Source organism: Homo sapiens, chromosome 2, assembly GCF_000001405.40.
Source record: "Homo sapiens chromosome 2, GRCh38.p14 Primary Assembly".
Taxonomy (NCBI): domain Eukaryota; kingdom Metazoa; phylum Chordata; class Mammalia; order Primates; family Hominidae; genus Homo; species Homo sapiens.
Window position 1 is genome coordinate 146,293,748 of NC_000002.12, and position 26,833 is coordinate 146,320,580.

Sequence of the window (26,833 nt, forward strand, 5' to 3'; positions counted from 1 at the left end):
GAGTAGAGTGGGCAGAGAATGGGAAATTGTTCTTTACAAAAGGAAATAAAGAATTTGGGGATAACTGATAAGTTTATTTTCTTGATTTTAATTATGATTTTATTAATACATATGTAATAATATGTAAAAACTTGTCCCTTTATACAATTTATGCGCACTTTATTATATTTTATTGACAAATTTTAAAACTTAAAAATCAGTGGAGAAAAAAGTGACAAATAATCTGATGATGTGGGGACATCTTGCTATAGGCAAGAATACTTTACATTTCATACAAAAATATATACCAAGTTTGAAGTATAAAATTTGAAACATCAAGAAGATATCTTTAGAACTGTAAAGTAGAGAGCAAATTTTAAATAGGACCTGAAAATGAAACCATAAAAGTGAGGGATTTAAAAATTTAGTTAGATTGAAGCTAAAATATCCCATACATGAAAAGACTTCAAAAAAATGTGAAAAAAGACTGCAAAAAACTATTTACAATGCAGAGAATTAATATATGTAGCATATAGCAACTCCTTTCTAATTGATAACAGAAAGACAACTCATTATACTTATTACTAAAACTGATGAAATATGAAAATAGCTGATTCATTACAGAAATTAAATGTCCAATAGATATAGAAATGATTCTCAAACTCACTAGTAATAAAAAGCTGTAATTTAAAAATTACAGTAAGATTCCAATTATATTTCAATAAGTTTGTCAAAAAGTTAAAAATCTTGATATTATAGGAAGAATACAGGATAACTATAACTAACATTATTATATACTCCTAGTAGAACTGTAATTTTCTTTTTTCTGTTTTTGTTTGTTTGTTTTTGTTTTTGTTTTTGTTTTTTTGAGATGGAGTCTCGCTCTCTCACCTAGGCTGGAGTGCAGTTGTGCAATCTTGGCTCACTGCTACTTCCACCTCCTGGGATCAAGTGATTCTCCTGCCACAGCCTTCCAAGTAGCTGGGACTACAGGTGTGTGCAACCATACCCAGCTAATTTTTTTGTATTTTTAGTACAGACGGGGTTTCACTGTATTAGCCATGATGGTCACAGGGTGTAATCCCAGGGTGCTGGGATTACAGGCATGAGCAACCGTGCCTGGCCGAGTGTAAATTTTTTAAACACTTTGCAAAGCTATATGTCAATATCTATTAAACATTTATAATACATACTCTTTAACTGAAAATTACGCACCAAAACTTATACCACAGAGAAAAATCTATCAGCAAGAAATGGATTTTAAAATTGATGTTACAGATACAATAAAATACCCTACAATCAATAAAATAGATGAACTAGTTATGTACATCAACAGAGAACCCTCGAAAACATAGCACTTAGTCCCTATATATAAGTAACATGAAAAATGTAAAGCAAAATAACATGTACATACTACTTTATATTTGGACTTTATTTTGGATAATATTTTTACTAAGTAAGGGATTTTGAATTGGCTTTATTTTTAAATTTTGGTACTGTAAAGAAAACCATTGTCTTCAGGTTTGCATAGTTTCTCAGGAGAAGTCAGCAGTATTTCTTATATTTCTTCATGTGTATATCACTTCCCTTTCTTTCTGGCTTCTTACAAGATGTTCCCTTTATTTCCTGTGCTGTTTTTAGGAATGTGAATATTATATCTAGGAGTGTGTGTTTGTATCTATTTGTACATGCACATGCATGTGTGTGCTTTCCTAAAAGAAACCCAAGCTTCTTGGCTCTGTGTTTTCATATCTTTTACTATTGTTGGAAATTTCTTAGCTATTCTCTCTCAAACTTTTCTTCTGACATATTCTTTCTCTGTTTTCCTTGAGCGGTTCTAATTACATGTACATTAGAATATTTGGTGTTGTATTACAGCTGTAGATGCTTTCTGTTTTTATTTCATTACAGCTTTTGGAACCTTTGTTTTCTTCTTTTTCTTTTTTGTGATTATATTTAAATAATTTTATTGTCAAATTTTCAATTTTGTTTACCTTTCCTGAGCTGTTTTATGGGTTGGCCATTTAAGTAAATTTTTCACTGCTATTACCTTTTCCTTTCTATTATTTTAATTTAAATCTTTGTTCTAGTTTTCATCTCTGCTGAAATGCCCTATTTGTCCTTCATGTTGTATGTCTTTTCTATGAAATCTTTTAACCTATTAATTAGAGTTATTTTAAAATTTAATCCAACCTTTAAAAATCTAGATTTTATATATATGTCTGTATTTTTCATAACTTTCTTTCTTTATTATGGTTATTTGTTTTTATTTTTTCTTATAATTTTGATTAAATGTTGGTCACAATGTATAAAGCAGTAGTGACTAAGAGAAAGAGTAACATGCCTGAAAACAATCAATTTGTCAGGCTCTTAGTATGAGGTATTGGCTGGTTCCTTGGTATGTTTTGCTAAGAGTATGTTCAAGACACAACAGTCTTCAAGTCTTTTCAGCAGTGAAATTCTATTGCCTAAGCTTAGAGTAGGGGCAGCAGAGTCAAAAGAATTTTCTCCTTTTTCTTGGCCCATCCTCAGCTTTCAACCTTACATACATGCCTTTGTCACAGATGTGGTTTCTCTCCTCTTGCTTGCCCCTCCTCTAGTGCTCTGCTGCTCTTGCTTGTTACTAGATGGTTACTCAGCTGATGGGCAGGAGCAGAGATTTTATATGTTGTCCTGGTTCAGCCTCAGTCTTATGTGTTTATGCCTCAAAAGTGCGGTTTTATATTTGAAATATACAATATAAAACTAAATATTATATATTGAAACATACATATATTTTGAAGTATATAGCCATATATATTGAGAAGTATTAACAGTACATACAAGATTGTGGCTTACATCTGCAGAAAGAAGGAGGAGAATAAATTTCAGCAAGAAACCCAGAAATATCAATAATATGCATAATATGTAATTTCCTAAGCAGGTTAGTTGTTAAAAGAGTGCTATTGTATTATTATGTTTTTGTGTCCATTTTTTGTGAATATTATGCACACATAGTTTACATTTAATAAGATAAAAACTGCTAACTTAGTTTGAAATTTTATTCTGATTAGTTTTATTCCTTCTTTCAGCAATAATAAACATGTATTATGAACAGACACAGTATTCTTACCAAGACCACTCAGATTTTTTTCAACTTGACAGTAGAATATAAAAATAACAGTATATTTTAACCATCTGCGAAAGAATTGCATAATTGCTATTTCTCTACAAATACTTGTTCTGAGTGAAGTAAATTTTATTCAATTAATTGGCAGTCCTAATCTCCACCAAAAAAAGTTATAAGGGAAGGTATGACTTGTGAAGTATCATTTAGAATACAAAACTAGACCAATCTAAGAAGCTATACAATTTGAAAAGACTGGCCTTTAAAGTCAGCCCTAGTAAGATTAAAACCTCAGATTATCACTTACTAGTTGCATAAAAATGGGCAAGTTAATTAATTCTAGACTTCAGTTTCCTCAAATGTAAAGTAAAGATAGAACCAACCTTGAAATAGGGATGAAATAACCAGGGCAATTACTCTCCTTAATATTTTACTTTGTATGGAATGAAAATAAGAATTAATTATCAATTAGTTCGGTGATTTTAGTAAACTCACTTCCTTCTTATGTGCTTCAGTTTCTTTCTTTCAAACTGAGCATAGCATTTTCCACATATCTCTGTAATAAAAGAAGGATAAAACAAGACAACATACAAAAGCTGCTTGGAAAAAGTATGCTATTATATAGTTAATATATTTCAGTAATCAGGTGTTTGCTTTCTTTTAGAAAACTGAATACCTGGTTAGAGGAGCACTAACTTGAGAGAAATTAGAGACTTATCATTTTTCAGTGGTGAGATAAACACATAATAACTTGTTTCTCAGTCCAAAGGAAACAGAGCTGTGGAAAAAATTTAAAACACACACACACACACACACACACACACACACACACACAAAGAGCAAAATAACCTAGAAATTTTGGATTTTGTTGGTAGTGCTGTTGCTTTTTTTTGGCTTTCATTTTGGACATCATGATTGTATTTTTTTTGTGAAATAAATTTACGTCTTTTTCAGTTGAATGGCAGAATGACGCATAAACAGGTCTATAATAAATATCAGCCATGGGTCATACAATCATGTATATGGAACTGTAACGTTCCATAGGAGGAAATGTTAAAATATTCTTCAAATATATATTTTTGAATATCAGGAAAATTTTGATTGTATGGACTCAATGATAGATGTAATTTTAGAAGCAACATGAATGTGTATTTCCCAAATTTTAACCAAGGACAGCTTACTACTTAATAAGAATGTGTGATAATTTCTCTACCTTGAGAAGAGGATCATCATGGTGGATGGGAGGCAGGACTAGATTGCAGCTCTGGACAAAGCAGCTTGCAGAAGCTCGCATTGTGAATGTTAGCTCCAGATCTAATGCAAGAACAAACCAGCAGTCCCAAGAGGACCCACAGACCCTCTGAAAGAAGAAGACTGTTTCTGCAGGACCTGGGAGCCACCCCAAATTGTCTGAGTGCCCCGACTGCAGAAGTGGAAAAGAGAGACCCTCCTCTCCCAAACACACACCTACACTGGAGAAACTGGAGCTGAGCCAATTTAGAGAGCCAAGCAAAATGCAGGGTTAGAGGAGGCAGCAGAGAGGCCCTGGGAACTCTCTGTGTCCCCTAGCAGGCCATTCCTGCCTGGCACCACAGAGATCTATCAGGTGGGGGACCAGAGGGAAAGGTGGTAAAACTTCACCAGGAGAAGAAAATCTCTAGCTGAAATTTTTAGCAATTTGAATGGGGTGAATAGCCTCCTGGCCAGAACTCAGGGGAGGATGCAAATCTGGTGCACAGACTCCACAGGCAGGGAAAGAACCAAGCCCTTTTCTCTCACAGCTGGGAGGTGGGTAGCCTGGGACAATTTTTAAAGCCCATCATGCTCTCTACCTAAAAACAGACTCGGGACTGTTGGTGGGGCATGGTGGGAGTGATATCAGCCCTTTGGTTTGCATGGAGCTGGGTGAGGCGTGCGACTGCTGGCTTTCCTCCACTTCCCTGACAAACCGCATGACTCAGCAGAGGCAGACATAATCCTCCTAGGTACACAACTCCAGTGACCTGGGAATCTCACTCCCATCACCAACAGCAGCTGCAGCAAGACCTGCCCAAAGACAGTCTGAGCTCAGGTACACCTAGCCTCACCCCCACCTGATGATTCTTCCCTATTCATCATGGTAGCAGAAGACAAAGGGCATATAATCTTGGGAGTTCTAGGGCTTACCCACCACTGGTCCCTCTCCATACTACCACAGCTGATGCTTTCTGGAAAGCACCACCTCCTGGCAGGAGGCCAACCAGCACAAAAATAGAGCATTAAACCACCAAAGCTAAGAACCGTCACAGAGTCCATTGCACCCTCCACCACGTCCACCAGAACAGGCGCGGATATCCATGGCTGAGAGATTCAGAGATGGTTCATATCATAGGACCCTGTGCAGACAGCCCCCAGTACCAGCCCAGAGCTGGGTAGACTCGCTGAGTGGCTAGACCCAGAAGAGAGACAACAATCACTGCAGTTCAGCTTAAGGAAGCCTCATCCATAGAGAAAGGGGGAGAATACTACATCAAGGGAACACCCTGTGGGACAAAAGAATCTGAACAACAGCCTTTGGCACTAAACCTTCCCTCTGACAGAGCCTGCCCAAATGAGAAGGAACCAGAAAACCAACCCTGGTAATATGACAAAACAAGGCTCTTCAACATCCCCAAAGTATCACACTAGTTCACCAGCAATGGATCCAAACCAAGGATAAATCCCTGATTTACTTGTAAAAGAACTCAGGAGTTTAGTTATTAAGCTGATCAGGGAGGGACCAGAGAAAGGCGAAGCCCACTGCAAGGAAATCCAAAAAAATGATACAAGAAGTGAAGGGAGAAATATTCAAGTAAATAGATAGCTTAAAGAAAAAAAAACAATTAAAAATTCAGGAAACTTTGGACACACTTTTAGAAATGCAAAATGCCCTGGAAAGTCTCAGAAATAGAACTGAACAAGTAGAAGAAAGGAATTCAGAGCTCAAAGGTAAGGTCTTTGAATTAACCCAATCCAACAAAGACAAAGAAAAAAAATAAGAAAATATGAACAAAGTCTCCAAGAAGTCTGGGATTATGTTTAATGACCAAACTTAAGAATAATCAGTGTTGCTCCTGAGGAAGAAGAGAATTCTAAAAGCTTGGAAAACATTTTCAGGGGAATAATTGAGGAAAACTTCCCTGACCTTGCTAGAGACCTTGACATCCAAATACAAGAAGCACAAAGAACACCTGGAAAATTAATTGCAAAAAGATCTTCACCTAGGCATGTTGTCATCAGGTTATCCAAAGTTAAGATGAAAAAAAGAACCTTAAGAGCTGTGAGACAGAAGCACCAACTCACCTATAAAGAAAACCTATCAGATTAACAGCAGATTTCTCAGCAGAAACCCTGCAGGCTAGAAGGGAATGGGTCCCTATATTCAGCCTCTTCAAACAAACCAGTTAACAGCCAAGAATTTTGTATCCAGTGAAACTAAGTATCATCAGTGAAGGAAAAATACAGTTGTTCTTAGACAAACAAATGCTGAGGGAATTCGCCATTACTGAGCCACCGCTACGAGAACTGCTAAAAGGAGCTCTAAATCTTGAAACAAATCCTGGAAACAAATCAAAACAGTACATCTTTAAAGCATAAATCACACAGGACCTATAAAACAAAAATATTTGTTAAAGAGCAAAAACAAAAAACCAAAGTACACAGGCAACAAAAAGCATGATGAATGCAACCATACCTCACATTTCAATACTAACATTGAATGTAAATGGCCTAAATGCTCCACTTAAAAGATACAGAACTGCAGAATGGATAAGAACTCACCAACCAATTATCTGCTGCCTTCAGGAGACTCACCTAACACATAAGGACTCACATAAATTTAAAGTAAAGGGGTGGAAAAAGGCATCTCATGCAAATGAATACCAAAAGCTAGCAGGGGTAGCTATTCTTATATAAGACAAAACAAATTTTAAGGCATTAGCAGTCAAAAGCGACAGAGAGGGATGTTATATAATGATCAAAGGTCTTGTCCAACATGAAAATATCACAATCCTAAACACATAAGAACCTAACATTGGAGCTCCCGAATTTGTTAAACAATTACTAATAGACCTATGAAATGAAATAGACAGCAACCAAATAATAGTGGGGGACTTCAATATGCCACTGACAACACTAGACAGCCTATCAAGACAGAAAGTCAACAAACAATGGATTTAAACTATACATTGAAACAAATGAACTTAACAGGTATATACAGAACATTTCATCCAACAACAGCAGAATAAACATTCTATTCAACAGTGCATGGAACTTTCTCCATGGCCATATGATAGGCCATAAAATGAGCCTCAATAAATATAAGAAAATTGAAATTATATCAAGCACTCTCTCAGATCACAGTGGAATAAAATTGGCTATCAACTTCTAAAGTAACCTTCAGAACCATGCAAATATATGGAAATTAAATAGCCTGCTCCTGAATGAGCATTGGGCCAAAAACAAAATCAAGATGGAAATTAGAAAATTATTCAAACTGAATGGCAATAACGACAAAACCTATCAAAACCTCTGGGATAAAGCAAAGGTGGTGCTAAGAGGAAAGTTCATAGCCCTAAGTACGTACATCAAAAAGACTGAAAGTGCACAAACTGACATTCTGAGGTCACACCTTAAGGAGCTAGAGAAACAAGAACAAACCAAACCCAAACTTAGGAGAAGAAAGGAAATTACCAAGATCAGAGCAGAACTAAATGAAACTGAAAAATACAAAAGATAAATGAAACCAAAAGCTGGTTCTTTAAAAACACAAATAAAATTGATAGATCATTAGCAAGATAAACCAAGAAAAGAAGAGAGAAAATCCAAATAACCTCACCAGAAATGAAACAGGAGATGCTACAACTGACAACACTGAAATACAAAAGATCACTCATGGCTACTATGAACACCTTTACATACATAAATTAGAAAACCTAGAAGAGATGGATAAATTCCAGGAAAAATACAAGCCTCCTAGCTTAAATCAGGAAGAATTAGATACCCTGAACAGATCACTGAAATAGTAATTTTAAAATTTCCAACAGAAAAAGTCCAGGACCAGAGAGATTCACAGCAGAATTCTACCAGACATTCAAAGAAGAATTGGTACCAATCCTTTCAAAACTATTCCACAAGATGGAGAAAGAAGGAACCTCCCTAATTCATTTTATGAAGCCAGCATCATCCTGAAACCAAAACCAGGAAAGGATGTAACCAAAAAAGTAAATTACAGACTAATATCCTTGATGAACACTGATGCTAAAATCGTTAACAAAATATTAGCTAACATAATCCAACAATAATCAAAAAGATAATCCACCATGATCAAGTGGGTTTCATATCAGGGATGCAGGGAAGGTTTAACATATGTAAGTCAATAAATGTGGTACACCACATAAAGAGAATTAAAAACCAAAGTCACCTGATCATCTCAGTAGATGCAGAAAAAGCATTTGATAAAATCCAGCATCCCTTCATGATTAAAACTCTCAGGAAAATCAAGATTTAAGGGACACACCTTAATGTAATAAAAGCCATCTATGACAAACCCACCGCCAACAGAATACTGAATAGAGAAAAGTTGAAAGCATTACCTCTGAGAACTGGAACAAGACAATGATGCCCACCTTCACCACTCCTCTTCAACACTGTACTAGAAGTCCTAGCCAGAGAAATCAGACAAGATAAATAAATAAAGGGCATGAAAGTTGGTAAAGAGGAAGTCAAACTGTCACTGTTTGATGACGATATGATCATTTACCTTGAAAACCCTAAGGACTCCTCTAGAAAGCTCCTAGAACTGATAAAAGAATTCAGCAAAGTTTCCAGATCCCAGATTAATGTAGACAAATTAGTTAGCTCTTCTATGCAAAAACAGCGACCAAGCAGAGAATCAAATCAAGAAATCAATTCCTTTTACAACAGCTGCAAAAAAAGTAAAATACTTAAGAATAAAGTAGAATACTTAAGAATATACCTAACCAAGGAGTCAAAAGACCTCTACAGGGAAAACAACAAAACATTGCTGAAAGAAATCACAGATGACACAAACAAATGGAAACACATCCCATGCTCATGGCTAGGTAGAATCAACATTGTGAAAATGACCATACTACCAAAAGCAATCTACAAATTCAATGCAATCCCTATCAAAATACCACAATCATTCTTCACAGAATTAGAAAAAAACAATTTAAAATTCATATGGAACCAAAAAAGAGCCTGTATAGTCAAAGCAAGACTAAGCAAACAGAACAAATCTGGAGGCATCACACAACCTGATTTCAAACTACACTATAAGGGCATAGTAACCAAAACAGCATGGTACTTGTATAGAAATAGGCACATAGACCAATGGAATGGAATAGAGAACTCAGAAATAAACCTAAATACTTACAGCCAACTGATCTTCAACAAAGCAAACAAAAACTATAAAGTGGGGAAAGGACACCCGTTTCAACAAATCACGCTGGGATAATTGGCTAGCCAAATGTAGGAGAATGAAACTGGATCCTCATCTCTCACCTTATACAAAAATCAACTCAAGATGGATTAAGGACTTAAACTTAATACCTGAAACTATAAAAATTCTAGAAGATAACATTGGAAAAGCCCTTCTAGACATTGACTTAGGCAAAGATTTCATGATGAAGAGCCCCAAAGCAAATGCAATAAATACAAAGATAAATAGCTGAGACCTAATTAAACTAAAGGGCTTTTGCACGGCAAAAGGAACAGTCAGCAGAGTAAACAGACAACAAATATCCAGAATCGACAACAGATTCAAACAAATCAGTAAGGAAAAAACAAACACTCCCATCAAAGAGTGGGCTAAGGACATGAATAGACAATTCTCAAAAGAAGACATACAAATGGCCAACAAACATATGAAAAAATGCTCAACATCACTAATGATCAGGGAAATGCAAATCAAAACCACAACCCCATACCACCTTACTCCTGCAAGAATGGCCATAATCAAAAAATCAAAACATGGTAGATGTTTGCATGGATGTGGTGAACAGGGAATACTTCTACACTGCTTGTGGGAATGTAAACTAGTACAGCCACTATGGAAAACAGTGTGGAGATTCCTTAAAGAACTAAAAGTAGAACTACCATTTGATCCAGCAATGCCACTACTGGGTATCTACCCAGAGGAAAAGAAGTCATTATTTGGAAAAGATACTTGCACACACTTGTTTATAGTGGCACAATTCACAATAGCAAAATTGTGGAACCAACCCAAATGCCCATCAATCAATGAGTGGATAAAGAAACTGTGAGATATGTGATATATATATATATATCATATATAGATATGATACAAATTATATATATCACATATATGATATGTATCACATATATGATATATATCATATATATACATATATCAATGATACAATGGACTTTGGGGACTTGGAGGGAAGAGTGGGAGGAACCAATGGATAAAAGACAACAAGTATGGTGCAGTGTATACTGCTCGGGTTATGGGTGCACCAAAATCTCAAAAACCACCACTAAAGAACTTACTCATGTAACCAAATACCACCTGTACCCCAGTAAGTTATGGAAATAATTAATTAAATTTTTTCTCTACTTATAATTGTTGCCATTGTATTTAATCCCAACAAGACTTAAAATCTAAATCTATCCCACGAGACTTGTGTGTGTGGTGTGCGTGTTTGCTTTTTCCCATCTAAAAGACAAATTATTCTTACAAATCCAAGTTAGAGTGTACAGATTTTACATATTTTGTATGACTTGATTTGATATTTGGCAACTGCCCATTAGTAGCTATTCTGACTTATCCCAGTCCCATTTCATCCCAGATTTTTAAGAGTGATGTGAAAGAAAGGTTTCATGAGGTGCATTGAGATAATTGTTTTCACTTTCTTAAAATTAAAAAAAAAATCAAGGCACACTTGAGATTTCACAGGACGATAGCATTGGTCATAACATGAGCTCATAGTTTCTCCTAAATGTAAGCAATACATATAATGACTGACTTGGATACCATTTTTTTTAAAGAAGAGATAACATTTGATTGAACTTTGGATCAGATTTCAAACCTATCTGACTTATCCCTCTGAAGAAAAAAATCTGACTCAAGGGGAAGAATTTTGTTTAATTATCAAGCACTTATGTCAAGGGAAAATTATTGTGAAAAATTCGAACCTTTTTCTAAAGTTCACCATGAGGCTATGGTTGTAACAGGAAGAAAACATTAGTGACTTGAAGCTCAATTTACTTAGTTTTCACTTCGCTGGGAATATGTGACGAAAGTTGAGACATGTGTTACCCTTTCAACAACAAAAAAGTTTGAGGTGCTGACTTTTTGCCCCCATTTGGGCACCCATAGATGGAAAAAAGGAAAAGAATTTTGAATCAGAGCCACAACATGTAAATGTGTTTTTCTTCTTCCCTTTTTGGTTAGTGGCCCTCAGGCATCAAAAGCATAAGGTATCTCCGTGTCTTCTTCTCACAGCATGAAAGTCAGTAAAGCTTTCAACAATCTCATGTCCATAATAGCTTTCTTTTCCTGTGAGTGTGTATGTATAAAATTCCGCACCACCCCCCTGAAGCCCCAAAGCAGCCATTAAAAGTAACCATCATCTATCCAGTTACAGAAGCAGAACAGAAAAGAGCTGAAGAGAACTGTGAGTTGTTGGTACGGAGCCAGGAATCCAAGTCTGATTTTCTGCTTCTATTTCTTGAATTAAAAAGAAAATACCCCAAAGTAATTGCAGTTTAAGAGGACTTCTCAAAGCACAACATATTTGTATGAGAAAAGGAAGAAATGTACGTAAAATGAACTAAGAACTGACTTGATTCCAACATTTTAAGACCTAACAAAGAAAATAACATTTAAAACTCCATGTTCAGGATGAGTAAACCTTTCAAATTAAAGTTTCACAACATTGCTGATGTTTCTACACCTGCCTCAGAACTGGTTAAGCATGCTGATTTAAAGTAAACTCTTTAACTACCTTCAAGTTGGCTCTTTTAGACCAAATGACTATCCAGTCATCTAAGTTACCAACCCTCAAGCATAAGATGGAATTTGAGGGCAACGGATGCTTGTTTTTTAATGCTAAATTTACAATCTCACAAAGCGTATCTTATGTGGGCTCCCCATCTATGAAGTCCATTTGTTCTAGACCATGATATGACAGGTGTAATCTTATTGGATTTTTTTGTTTCGTTTGTGTATATATGTACATACATATGTGTGTGTGTGTGTGTTTGTATATGTGTGTGTGTGTGTGTGTGTGTGTGTATTCACCTTTTCCTGGTCCGATCCTTCTATTACTGACAAATACGACACTGTCTTAAACATTCTGGCTAAAATGTGTAGAGAAACAAGGTTTTTTTTTTTTGTTTTTTTTTTTTTTGTTTTTTTTTTGAGACGGAGTCTTGCTTTTGTTCCCCAGTGGCGCAATCTTGGCTTACTGCAACCTCCGCCTCCTGGGTTCAAGCAATTCTCCTGCCTCAGCCTCCCAAGTAGCTGGGATTACAGGTGTCCACCACCATGCCCACCTAAATTTTTTTGTATTTTTAGTAGAGACGGGGTTTCACCATGTTGTCCAGGCTGGTCTCATCTTCCTGACCTAGTGATCTGCCCACCTCAGCGTCCCATAGTGCTGGGATTACAGGTGTGAGCCACCGTGCCCTGCCAAAACAAGGTACTTTAAAACTGTGTGCATGTATAATAGGAAATGATCTTAAATTTACAGAATATTTTTACTTATTGAATCTGTTACTTGATAATAAAAGAGGAGCAGGAAATTGATTTGTTGAACATGAATCCATGCCTATAAAAGAGAATTTATAAATTAATTTTTCATTAGGAATGATGGCAAAAATGTAAGCTTTTCTATTATATTTGTGCAACCATTTAAAATGCCATTACAATGAATTGCTTTAAATCCAACTGTTCTCTAAAAGGACCTCACTTAACATTTCTTTTAACAACTGTCAATAAATGAAGTAAAACCAGATCACCCTGTAGAAACAAATCTACTAAAACCCAGAAACATCTTATCAAAGTCTGAATTCATGTTTTCATCAAGTGCTAAAGATATCTCCAATATACATAATTCTTCCCTCAAAGTTCTATGATAAATAAAAATGCTGCGAGCAGCTACATTCCACTTTTATTGGTTAACCAGACATATTTCAAGCACAATGTCTTGAAGAGGCTAAAAGAAATTAGAACAAATCTTTAAACCAACATTTCTTGTATTCATATGCCAATTATAAAGTTAAGGAATCTTCTTAGATAGTTGAAGTGTAAATGGTGGGGTAAAAGTTCAGAAAAGGAACAAAGTCTGGGAAAAATTAAAAAGCCACCAAGAGAAGGATGAATAGGGGAAGACAAAATAGAGAAGTCTAAAAGGAAAGGATGTTCTGAAATATATTGCATTCACTTAGAACTGGGCCAAAAACCTATAAATACAAAAGGAAACGAGAAGGTTTTCTTTTGCCACTGTTCCCCATGGCAAGCATATTGATGGAAGTTGCTTCAACAAATTTCAAAAGCTATTATTTTCATTCAATTACCTTCTCATGTTTGGTAATGGTGTGATTTAGTCACATGAACAGTCACTGCTTCCTAATAACACTTTAAACGTAATTTTATCAGTTTAATCAATTGGGGAATAAACTGACCACTTTTTTAGTTTAAAAAAATATATAGAATGAAAATAAAGCACTATAATTTTTGTTTAAGTATTTTCTCCATAGAAAAATACACGGATTTTGGAAAATGTAAACTTATAAGTTACATTTTAAATTGTAAAATTAGGTATATGCACAACTTTATGCTTCTTAACTAGAACTAATTTTATTGGTTTTTCTCCTGAGTTGACACCAGTTCCTCTTCTTAGCGGTATATTAATGGTAAATCTTGACTACCCAAGGAAAGAGCAAAAGACCATGCCCCGAGTGCTGAATGCAACCTTGTGTTGGAGTTCACTTGTCCCAACTTGTGTACAGAGTCGATGTCTTAGTCAGTTCAGGTTGCTATAAAATGTACTTTATACTGGATAATTTATAAACAACAGACGTTTGATTCTCATAGTTCTGGAGGCTAGGAAATCCAAGATTAAGGCACTAGCAAATTTGATGTCTGATAAGTGCCTGCTCACTGCTTCATGAACAGTGCCTTGTGGCTGCAAACTCAGGTGAGAGAAGGAACGAAAGGCCATCCCCATCAAGCTACCAATGACTTTCTTCACAGAATTGGAAAAAACTACTTTAAAGTTCATATGGAACCAAAAAAGAGCCCACATTGCCAAGTCAATCCTAAGCCAAAAGAACAAATCTGGAGGCATCATGTTACCTAACTTCAAACTATACTACAAGGCTACAGTAACCAAAACAGCATGGTACTGGTACCAAAACAGAGATATAGACCAATGGGACAGAACAGAGCCCTCAGAAATAATGCCACATATCTACAACTATCTGATCTTTGACAAACCTGACAAAAACAAGAAAAGGGGAAAGGATTCCCTATTTAATAAATGGTGCTGGGAAAACTGGCTAACCATATGTAGAAAGCTGAAACTGGATCCCTTCCTTACACCTTATACAAAAATTAATTCAAGATGGATTAAAGACTTAAATGTTAGACCTAAAATCATAAAAACCCTAGAAGAAAACCTGGCAATACCATTCAGGACGTAGGCATGGGCAAGGACTTCATGTCTAAAACACCAAAAGCAATGGCAACAAAAGCCAAAACTGACAAATGGGATCTAATTAAACTAAAGAGCTTCTGCACAGCAAAAGAAACTACCATCAGAGTGAACAGACAACCTACAGAACGGGAGAAAATTTTTGCAACCTACTCATCTGACAAAGGGCTAATATCCAGAATCTACAATGAACTCAAACAAATTTACAAGAAAAAAAAAAACAACCCCATCAGAAAGTGGGCAAAGGATATGAACAGACACTTCTCAAAAGAAGACATTTTTGCACCCAACAGACACATGAAAAATGCTCATCACAACTGGCCATCAGAGAAATGCAAATCAAAACCACAATGAGATATCATCTCACACCAGTTAGAATGGCGATCATTAAAAAGTCAGGAAACAACAGGTGCTGGAGAGGACGTGGAGAAATAGGAACACTTTTACACTGCTGGTGGGACTGTAAACTAGTTCAGCCATTGTGAAAGTCAGTGTGGCGATACCTCAGGGATCTAGAACTAGAAATACCATTTGACCCAGCCATCCCATTACCACATATATATCCAAAGGATTATAAATCATGCTGCTATAAAGACACATGCACACGTATGTTTATTGCAGCACTATTCACAATAGCAAAGACTTGGAACCAACCCAAATGTCCAACCATGATAGACTGGATTAAGAAAATGTGGCACATATACACCATGGAATACTATGCAGCCATAAAAAATGATGAGTTCATGTCCTTTGTAGGGACATGGATGAAGCTGGAAACCATCATTCTCAGCAAACTATCGCAAGGATAAAAAACCAAACACCGCATGTTCTCACTCACAGGTGGGAATTGAACAATGAGAACACATGGACACAGGAAGGGGAACATCACACACAGGGGCTTGTTGTGGGGTGGGGGGAGGGGGGGAGGGATAGCATTAGGATATATACCTAATGTTAAATGAGGAGTTACTGGGTGCAGCACACCAACATGGCACATATGTATACAAACCAGCACGTTGTGCACATGTAGCCTAAAACTTAAAGTATAATAAAAATAAAAAAAATTAAAAACATTAAAAAAAGCTCCCTCATGCCTCTTTTGTAAGGGCTCTGATCCAATTCATGAAGGCCAAATCACCTCCCCAAATCCCATGTCACATTGGGTATTAGGTTTCAACATATGATCCTGGGGGGAAGGCCAACATTCAGAAGAAAGGACATTAGAGACCTTAGAGGTATGGCTCTGAATCATTGAGTCTGATTTTAAATAATAATTCAGATTTATACATCCACATGTATGTTGCCTTCTTAAAAGGTGAGGTTATGCATCTCATTTCTTTCCAATCATTTTGCTATTGATCAAATATGCCAGTACCTTCTTAAGTAATTGACTTATACCTGAGACAGAATTAATGCCAGAAACTGCAGTCTAAGTGATTATCATAATGGGTATTTTTTTTTTTTCAGATACAGAAACTGAGACACCCAGAGGTTAAAACCTTTGATTTTTTCACTCTATAAGACTGAGTAAACACTGGAGACAACACTGAACTCTATGACAGAGAGAAAGAGCAAGAGAAAAGGTTATAAACGGCATCAGAAGATATTTCCAAATGAAGTTGTAAGTATTTTTTTGTAACCCATGATTCTACTCACTATACTTGAAATAACTACATTAAAGATCAATCCTGTTTTAACTTTGTGCAGTTTGTTTATCTTTAAAAAATCAGTATTGCTTCTTTATAGTCACACCTATTCAAGGATCAACGTGACAGGAATCATACATTTTTACTGTATCTGCAAATGAAAGGTAACAAATCCCCGTAATTTCAAAACAAAATAAAATCCTCAAAACCAAACAGCATTACTATTTTCTCCACACACAGTAAACCATGTGTTTAAAATTTAGGTTCATATATATGTATGTGTGTGTATATATGTGTGTGTGTGTGTGTGTGTGTGCATGTGTATACATATATTTTTTGATTATTATTTTTAATTTCTTTTTTTTTGAGATAGAGGTCACACTATATTGCCCAGGCTGGTTGCATAGGTCAGTATTTTTTATTCAAGAACAAAATAAGTCTAATTTTTAAATAGCATTATCAACTAATTTCTGTGGACAATTTCCAATAGTGTCTCTGATCACCATAAGCCTTAGACTATCATGAAAGCAATTCTGAGAGCATCATCTAAATTTCTGATTTAAAAAAAAATTTTAAATAGCAGTTTTCCACATCATCCCCTTCTCTCTTCTCCCTCTGTCTTATAAAACAATTGGTATTGGGATTATATTGATGTATTTCAGAAAAAAACTCAGTTACAGGAATATATGTTTACATATTCTGACAAGATTGGTTTACCATCTTCAAATATTCTGAGTGGGCCCTCAATAAATATTTACTGGCCTGAAGGGAATTAAACTTCAACATGATATGTTTCAGCAAGTGAAAAAATCCTGTAAATTTCACAAGGCCACTGCATATAATGAAGTACCTTATGTAGCCTTAAAGCAATCACTGTAACTATTGCAGAACCTTCATCTAGATATGAGGATAACAGTTAAGTTTGCTACTAATTTTCCAAGTTCAAATCCAAGAGGGTGTCATTCTCAGCACACCATGTAATTCAGAGACAACCTGAACATCAGCAAACCCAGAACAACCCAGATGCTATCAAGAATCTAAGAGTCATAGATTCCTAAGACTTTATGATCAACAAAGGTCATGGAATGTTTTTATTTAACTATATAAAATGTTCAGAATACCTCATTTTGGAAATTTCCTGGGCTTCATATTCGGTCCAAAGACAGCTGGGAAAAAACTTTTCATTAAAAATCCTTTTCACTGTTGGAAATGTGAAATGTATTATATAGGATGCAAAGTGATATTTACCTATGTACATGAAGTCATAAAATCATTGAGATTATTCCTGTTACCAGTAAGTTATTTTCCATTATAACAGAAAGGGCCTCTTTTTCTCCAATTCTCCAAATAACCAAAAGTTTGATCTCCGTAAGACAGAAAAATAAAACAAATGACAGACATTAGGGAGGTGCCTTAGATTCTTTGACTTCAATTTAAGGAAAAGAGGCATTTACAGCCATTGACAAAAATAGCCTAGAGCCCATGTAGTTGTGATTTTGTGGGTGACAATGTCTCTCATTCATCTAACAGCTGAAGGTTAGTCTCTGAAAATCAGCCACTATTTACCTTAGTCTCAGCCTGACAGAAGCATCCACTGCTTAGAAGGATCCAAGTGTGCAGGGCCAATATTTACTTCTGATGTGCTGAGAGGTGAGAAATTATAAAACCTGCCCAAATAAAAGCAATTTAAATTTTCCAGACATTTATACTCAGTGTTAAACTCTTTATATATGACTATCTTCAGCTACCTGAAATTTTATCCTATTAATAAAGGTTAAGCACCTTGACATTTATTTTTGCCTGCTCAAGTTTAAATTTACTCAATGAAATAACATACAGATCCACTATAATAAGTATAATAATTATTTCGTATAACCTCCTTCTCAGTTAGAAGTTAAATTTTATTTTGAAGTAAACTAAATTAGGATAATTAAGATATAATATGGTGAAAACTTGACTAAATACATACAAAGAAAAAATAATGTGGTATTTTAATTAAAACATAATATCTACATGAAATATATAATTCTTTTCAAAACTATTTCTTCTTTCTACTTAAGTACCTCATATCTACAAATGCTTATGAAGATGTCAGATTAACTATAAATCTATAGACTAAAATAAAATTGTGCCACTGGAAAGTAAAGAAGGAAGAAGTTGTAGTGCCTGGTTTCTATTCAGCAATTTTCCTTGAATAGTGCCTCCACATCTCCACATGATGATCATGATCATTCATTTATTTCCCAGCATGCAGTCTGGTTTCAGATTCTCAGTTTTGCTCTATATATTTATAAAAGTTTTCAAAAAAGGGAAAAGAAGGTCATGGACTTTTACTGAAGAGATTAAACGTCCCTTCAGCTGGTATATACATAGAAATCCACTTTGATTTAGAGAAAGATCCATTTATGACATATGTTGTCAAGTGTTTTTAAAAATAAGTTTGAGGGTGGAGTAAAGATTAGAAAGACCTCATATTTTACACTAAATGAATGACATGTTTTGTAGTGACAGGCCACTATTAACTTCCTTGCTCCTGTATTGAGAAGGAAACAGCTGGAAATTTAGAAGAATGTTTAAGAAACATTCATAGCCAATACAAACGCAATGAAGTAGGCTGAACATTGAGTGTAGAGGGAATCTCACACCTACAAATATCATTGAAACTCCCATTAATCACTGCATCAAAGTAACTAAAGCATTTATACAGAGTTTATTGAAAATAAATCACTTTATCATATGCTCAAATGTGGGGATGATTTTCTCATAGAGATTTCTTCTTGGGCTTCTGTAGTTTTTTTATAGAGTATCTCCTGCCCTCTTTAGTCCAGATTTTATAACTACATTTAGGAAAAAGATTTAATTCAACGGCATAATTCTGACTTAGCTTCTTTTCTTGCTTGATGAAAATAGGTCATGATTAGCCATTTCTGACAGAAACAGTTGACAGGAAATAGGACAGGAAATGATATAATGATTCCAAAATTGTATATTTCCCCAATGCCCTGCGGTTTGGGGAATGACCTTACAGTTAACCAGGAAATTGGGAGGAGGTATTGAATCACAAATACTTACAAAACTGAATTCACTTTTTCATCCCTAGGTCCTCTTCATGTAAAGAAATACATTCAAACTCTGGAACTGAAAGAGATAAAAATAAATTTAGCTGAGTAAATATTTATTCTTCTTATAATTTATATATATTTCTAGATTTTTGAGCGGACTATTTAAAGCATACATTAATATCCAGTTAGCTAACACAAACATAGCATATAAACCACCTAAATATTAAAATAAAAAACTTCTAATGCTTTAATATTTATGGAGTTTAACTATTTTCTCATGGAAATAAAACTTTGACGCTATTTATTATTAAAAGCCTAGTCTTTTTATTCACAGTTAAATCACTATGTTTTAAAACTGCTTTTTAACATGTGTTTTTATATGCCATATAATGATAAATTACATTAATATCTGGTCCATTGTTCATTTTTTTTTCTAAAATAGACAATATCTCCTGGGTGAAAAATACTCAATTAAAAACAACATGCCTAAAACTCACACAAACACATAAGCACAAGAATATATAAGCATAAAATGCAAACTACTTCATTTAAAATTTTACTCAAATACAATGTTAATAATTCCATTTATACTTTTTCTTTTGTTTAAAGTTACTTTATATCTTTAAAAATAGATCTCCAATTCAGGACCTTCCTAAGACAATTTATAGCTCTACAAACAGAAAGTGCAAAATCCATCACAGGAAGTCCGATTTTCACAGTGTGAAATAAACCTTTTTGTGTTACTCCAGCATGTTCTTAAGCCTTTTAATATTTTAAAATACTTAACCATTTTGTTTATATTCCCTTAGTCATTAACTTCAACCCGTTTTAAATTTATGTCACTGGAGGATCAAGAGTAACAAAGCTGTACAAATTTAACAATTAGCCTTACTATGTAATTGCTTAGAATAAACATCCTGATTAGTTAAATCACTATTAAATTTTAATCAATGTGAGTGGGTGTTTCTATTTTTGATTGGGGAATCCACATAGATTGTCTGAGAGACTCCTTTTTGTACATGAAGTTGATATGTTTCCTCTCTTCATATTATGCCTAATGGATTCCATCTCAATCTCATATAATGCACGATTAGTGAATAGTCAAAGACATTTTTCTTTAATATGATCTTTCTTTTCATGACATTAATGACATATTTTTCTCTGCTGAATTTATTTCTCTTACTGTTTAAATAAATAAAGATGTTTATAGATATTAAAATGTGACAGTTTGTTAGAACAGTATTTTAACAAACGGAATTTGGTTTCATGCAAATATTTGGGGTTATTTTAAGGGGAAAAGTGTTATTATTTATTTTAAAAGAGTAATGCTAATTATTTGGAAGATAAAATTAAGTGAAAAGAAAATACGCTGTGATTTTACCTACAGAATCTAAGATGATAATATCTAACAGTCCCAAAAATTCAAAAAGCAAGTGATTCTTTCAGTAAGATTCATTTAATTAAATGTGCTTATGAGTTTACTTTTTTTCTTGGTTTAACAATTCTTCTTTCAGAAACAATCAATCAATATAAAATAACATTGTGTTTTATATTCTGCAGAAGTCATTTCAGTGTATTACTTTAATGAATGCTTTTGAAGTCCTTCAGGTGTTTTCAGATGAATAACCCATTTCCTATACATTCTCTTATGCCATCATTGTGAGAGCATTATTCCTGAAGTCAAATGTTCAGAACTACTGGACCTTTTTTAGCAATCTCTGCTAATTCAATATAGTCTACCAGGGGACAGGTAGAATGGCTTTTGGAGTAGCAGGCTCTACTACAAATACAATCAATTCTGGGAAACAACAGGTTTCATTTTTTTCAGAAATGTATTTGGTTAAAAGGCTAAAATAAAATAATACATACACAAACATTGCATTTATGAAAATGAATAAAATATTTTCTCTCAATCACAGAAATCATATTTTCTAAATGCAGTCTTTGCATTTTCTTTGCCTTTTATAACCCAGCCAGTTCTGAGTATGGCGTTACTTTGAAACTTATCAAAATAATGCACTGTTGCAAAGGCATTCTGCTCCTTTGTTGCTCAATGTACAGTTTGTGTTCAATAATTTCCATTTAGCCTCTTTTCCTAAATTAAATAATTATTCCTCTCTTTGAGAAATTACAACTTTAATATGTGACTGTGTAAATCTTCAGATAACTAAATGTAGTTCCACTGTTATTTACCATTTCCAGAAACATTTTCATGGTAACAATACAGACCTCATTTTTTTAAAAAAAGGATGACAAAGTTGTAAAACTGTATTATTTACTAAAGCTAAGGACAAATTTAAATGTGCCTTCTGCTTTTCATTTGGATCGTTAAATGGTTAATCCTAACAAGCATGGGGGGAAGGAAAAGAAATTAACTAAAGTAAGGCCCTTGTGAAACAATGACACTTGCTCTATGCTCTTACAGAGAAAAAACATGATGATAAAACAGCACAAAGTGGAGTGTTATGAATTTTATTAATGACTAGAAGACAGTGTGCAAAACATCAAAGGTCTGTGGAAAAGATTAATGACCCCGTGTGAGACTGTTTAATTACCTCCAGCTAATTAGATTCTTGACCAAATTTTTAATATCTGCATTCCTTCTACAGCCTAATTGAGATTCCACATTATTTATCAATCTTTCAAAAAGCCCTTAGTGGGCTGCTTTTTTAGTTTCTCCCTTTGCACTTTGACTCCATTTATGGTCAATTATTAAATAAATAGCAAAGTAACTATTCCCCACAAATTGTATATGCGGAACACTTTATGCCTGTTTATTTTGACTAGAAGACTATCATTGGCATCTTTTATACATAATGAAGCACTCCAACTAATAAACTGATAACTCCACTGTAAACAATGTGGATAATATTTTTGTTATCTCGGCTGTGCTCAGGAACTACTCATGCGGTTTCCGTAAATTAGGCTTTGCAATAGTCAGTTAATCCTTATTTCAGTTTACCTTGGTTGGGGACCAGAGACTCATGGAATGCTGTCATACAAACTAAAGAGAACAACTCAATCAATTCTTTCTTTCTCCTTTTCTTCTCTTTTCTTTCTTTCTTTTCTTTCTTTCTTCTTCGTTCTTTCATTTTTTTTTTAGAATTAGATTGTCTTTTAGTGTCCAGAAAGTGCTAATTGCATCATAATTTGCATTAACAAATATCAAGCTATCAAACAGCTCCTTCTGAAATGCTGGAAACCCAAATCCAGTGATAGATATATATACAGTGTGATATATATATACACTATATTTGGTATTTATATATATTTATATCACAGACATTTCTGAAGGAGAAATATTTGAGATAGTACCTCAATGAAAAAAAAGAACATTGTTGTGGAAAACTCACTAATCACCTAGAAAACAGTAGTGACATGGATTGTCTTTGATGTACATGGAACAAAACAGGAAGTCCAAACTCAGCAGCAGCCAGCTGAGTTATATTTGTCTCGGCATCTTTGTTTTCTGGACGATGCATAAAGTCTTCTCTTTAAATTTAGGTATTTTATAAGATAAATGCACTAGCATGACAGAACAAATATTACTCTATAATCTGTATACTTACAGAATCAATGAAAGAAAAGAAAAACTGTAACAATACAAGCACATTGATCATGTTAACACATGACAGCCTGTGAATCTAACAATGTAATTCTATTGAAGGATTACAGATATATTTCACCTTTGATTATAAAACCTGGAAAATATATATTGGGCTTTATAATACTCTTAATAATGATTGTCTTCTATGTGTTTCTCAGTATGTTTTATATTCAAGAGGAAAGAAAAAAATAGAAAGAAAAAAATCACCAATTCAGCCAACATTTATAAATAGGATGGAGTTATTTTCACTCGTTATTTCATAAAAGTTGTAACTCCTCCACCATAACATATTTAAGCATGGCCAGAAGAATCAGTCAACATTTCTGATCTTATACTTAGTGTCTGATACAGTCCATTGTGCCTCAATGTTTTGTTTATTTATACTGTTGATCATCTTTAGAATAAATAATAATAATGACAAGATAATTTCTAAGATCACTCCTAAAGTTCTATGATTTCAAAAGATTCTTACACCTGTACATCTCAGATACTTCCTTCAAAATAGCAAGTTTCATACCAACAAAGTCTAGAAACTCATAGTAAGCCTTCACCTTAGGTCTGCCTTATACTCATATAAAAATTCATTTTTAGGTAACATTAATATTAATAATAAAATGTAGAGCACCAGCCCTCCGTGAAATCTCATGGAAGTGAAAATAAAATCAGGGAAATTGTCATGCTTTTTAGGAGTGACAAAATCCCACAGCAGTGATATGATTTGAGAAAGTCCAAAGAGGATAGAGTGCATGACCAAAGTAGCATGGGGCAGAGTTAATCTCCCCACTGCAGCTGAGAGAGATATAAGATCTAAACCAGATCCAAACCAAGAGCGATCAGACAATTACATCGCTCGAATCTCTGAACCCCAGCAGATCTTCACTTCTGAGGCATAGATACTTATATTTTTACATAGGATCTTATTTTTCTGGCAAAAGACAAACAAGAAAGGAGGAGAGGGCTTTTTTTATCTAATAATGTAAAAAATGGCTGTGGGAGGGGCAGAACTTTAGTCATATCAGTCATTTACACTTTCATGAAAATGAAATTTCAAGATTCTTTCTTCAGAGCAAGTTTGGATGGGAGGGAGACAGCATGAGGAAACTGGACACAAAATTCAAAACATGAGAAGCAGAACAATAGGACACAGTATAGGAAGTACAAAAGTAAACCTTGATTTCTTCTTTATAACTTTGACTAAGGCTGACCCAATGACTACCTCACGGCAGGATTCAGTTATTGCAAAGGAAAGTGGTATAATTGCACAATGCCTCACGCAAATCCCTTGGTTTTTAACATACTGATGAGATGATCTGGTCAGGAACTTCCAGAAGGTATTAGGCCAATAGAGAAACCTCAGAACAGCTCCACACTCTAGATCTGGCCTTAGCTAATAGCATTCATTTATTCTTTCAGTCCACACACTCATTTACTTGTTGTTTTAAGCAAGCATGTTGTGAGTGCCAACTATATGTGTGATGGCATATAATGTTGAATCATCCATGGCTCCCATCTTCCAGGAGTTTGCCATGTAGCATGTCCTCATGTAGTATCTACAAAACTGAACAGATTTTCTGGGTTCAGTCTACTATAAAATCTACATCCAAAAGAAATGCAGAGGAATACTTAGTGAAAGTGAGAACTTACTTTCTTTTCCCAAAAATCCATGCACTACCAGGAATTCTTATGTATATGTTTGGCCTTAGATTCATATTTTGTTTATCACAGATTTTTTATCTTTAATATCATGACAATTTAAAGATCACAGAATTTTTCTGCCATCAGCAATATTCAGATAATTTTGACATGACAATGAGGATAAAGATTCCCCCTTCCTCAATTCTACATCTACCTGAAGTAACCCAGTGGAGTACCTCACTAAATCAGAGACATTATCTGAGCCAACTTCCAGATCATTAGAGAATCCATTTCACAGCATCCTTCATAGGTTTTCCTTTCAGAGCATTACCTCCCAAGAGCCACCTCTGGTTATATTTTGACATAGTGTTAGTTGTAATGCTGCCATTCACATTTTTCACACTGCAGCAATTATTTTAACAAACATTCTAAATTTCTTCATATAATCGTTATAATTTTAACTTCATATAATTAAATTCTCAGTAACTGAAGTACTAATCTGGGAATAATATCTCTCCATTCATTTTTCTAGCTGCCATGCTTTTTCTCCATACTAAATCACTCAATAATATGAGAATGCTAGTAAGAATATTTTTTCTATCATTTAGCACAAAATATAAAAACTGAGCTTATCAGTGGGACCATCGAAGTAGGAAATTTCAGGGTAACAAGTACTCTCTTTAGCTGTAGGTATAAACATGGATTGCGTTGTGTAATTATTCAACAGAAAACATGAACCTGAAAATTTGTATTTTTTTTTGGTTAAATATTTCCCATTAATAAGATTCAACATGAAGAAGAACAACAACACAGAAAAAGGCACAGATATTTATTCCTTATTTACAGGACAAAGCCTTGATTAAATTGACATCAAAATTATGGAAATGTTTATTTCTAAATAGTACAATGGTCTGTTATAAAGTTTTTTTAAAGATTATAGAATACTATATAATGAGAAATTATGTTTATCATGATAAAAACATACACAAAATAACTAACCATAATTCTATATATCAAAAATATACATAAAATATGCTCACCTAGAAGTCTATATTTTTATTTGTCTTTGAGGAAAAAAAATATTTCAAAAGAGTATGCATAAAATAAACCCACTTCTTTAAAAATACTTAAATATGACTTGCTATTACATTTTAAATCTCATTATATGTTTTTAATTCATAAGAAAAACTTGCAAACTATACAAGCTATTGAAATTTATTAATTATATGAATCAAATGTTCAGAAATATTTACATTTTAGCATAAGTTACTGTAATATTTGAATTGTTTGCTAAGTATCTATTTTGTAATAAAAATACATATTTATGGGTAGAAAAATTAAAACTCATAGCCATAAACCTGAAAACATAGAACAATAAAATGTTACAGAAGATGTCTATGTGTATCTTATTGTTTTTCACTATTTTTCAAACTAACATAACCATATTATTTCATAATTGCAAAAATACAAATTTTAATTAAAATGAAATTTTTTATAAACAAGCCAAATGGATTTATGAATTCAAATCTAACTTCAGATGAAATGCAAAAGTAAAAAAATTAAATAATAAACCACATATTCATTAATACCTTAAATGTAATGCTAAGATAAAATGAAGATTTTATTTGTGATATTGTTATATATTACTTTTATTTATTTATTTATTTTTGTAACAGAGTCTGGCTCTATCACCCAGATCACAGTGACTGACAGTGGCGTGATCTCAGCTCACTGCAGCCTCCACCTCCCAGTTCAAGCAATTCTGCCTCAGCCTCCCAAGTAGCTGGGACTAAACATGCCCACCACTATGCCTGGCTAATTTTTGTATTTTTTTTTTTTTTTTTTTTTTTGGAGAGACAAGGTTTCATCATGTTGGCCAGGCTGGTCTCAAACTCCTGACCTCAAGTGATCTGCCCACCTTGGTCTCCCAACATGCTGGGATTACAGGCATAAGCCACCCTGCTCACCCTCTATATTACTTTTAACTATCCCATACCATTAAATTTTGCACTAGTAAAATCTCAGTCAATCATATTTGGAAAGATGTGCTTACGGATATAAGAGGCAGATAATTTTAG

The 26,833-nt window shown here is 34.3% G+C and overlaps 1 long non-coding RNA gene across 2 annotated transcripts in view; it reads right to left on the reverse strand.

Moving 5' to 3' along the window:
• The window catches only part of LOC105373667 (uncharacterized), a 210,228-nt gene that overhangs the window by 90,624 nt on the left and 92,771 nt on the right, over nucleotides 1-26,833 (reverse strand). Inside the window, exons 2-3 of one of the 2 annotated variants that reach the window (XR_923421.3) lie at nucleotides 19,524-19,589; nucleotides 16,784-18,118 (exon numbers count right to left, since the gene is read on the reverse strand). This is a non-coding gene — a long non-coding RNA (uncharacterized LOC105373667). Of the gene's footprint in view, nucleotides 1-16,783; nucleotides 18,119-19,523; nucleotides 19,590-26,833 lie in introns of those variants that run through there. The other variant, XR_923422.4, reaches the window with a different exon arrangement.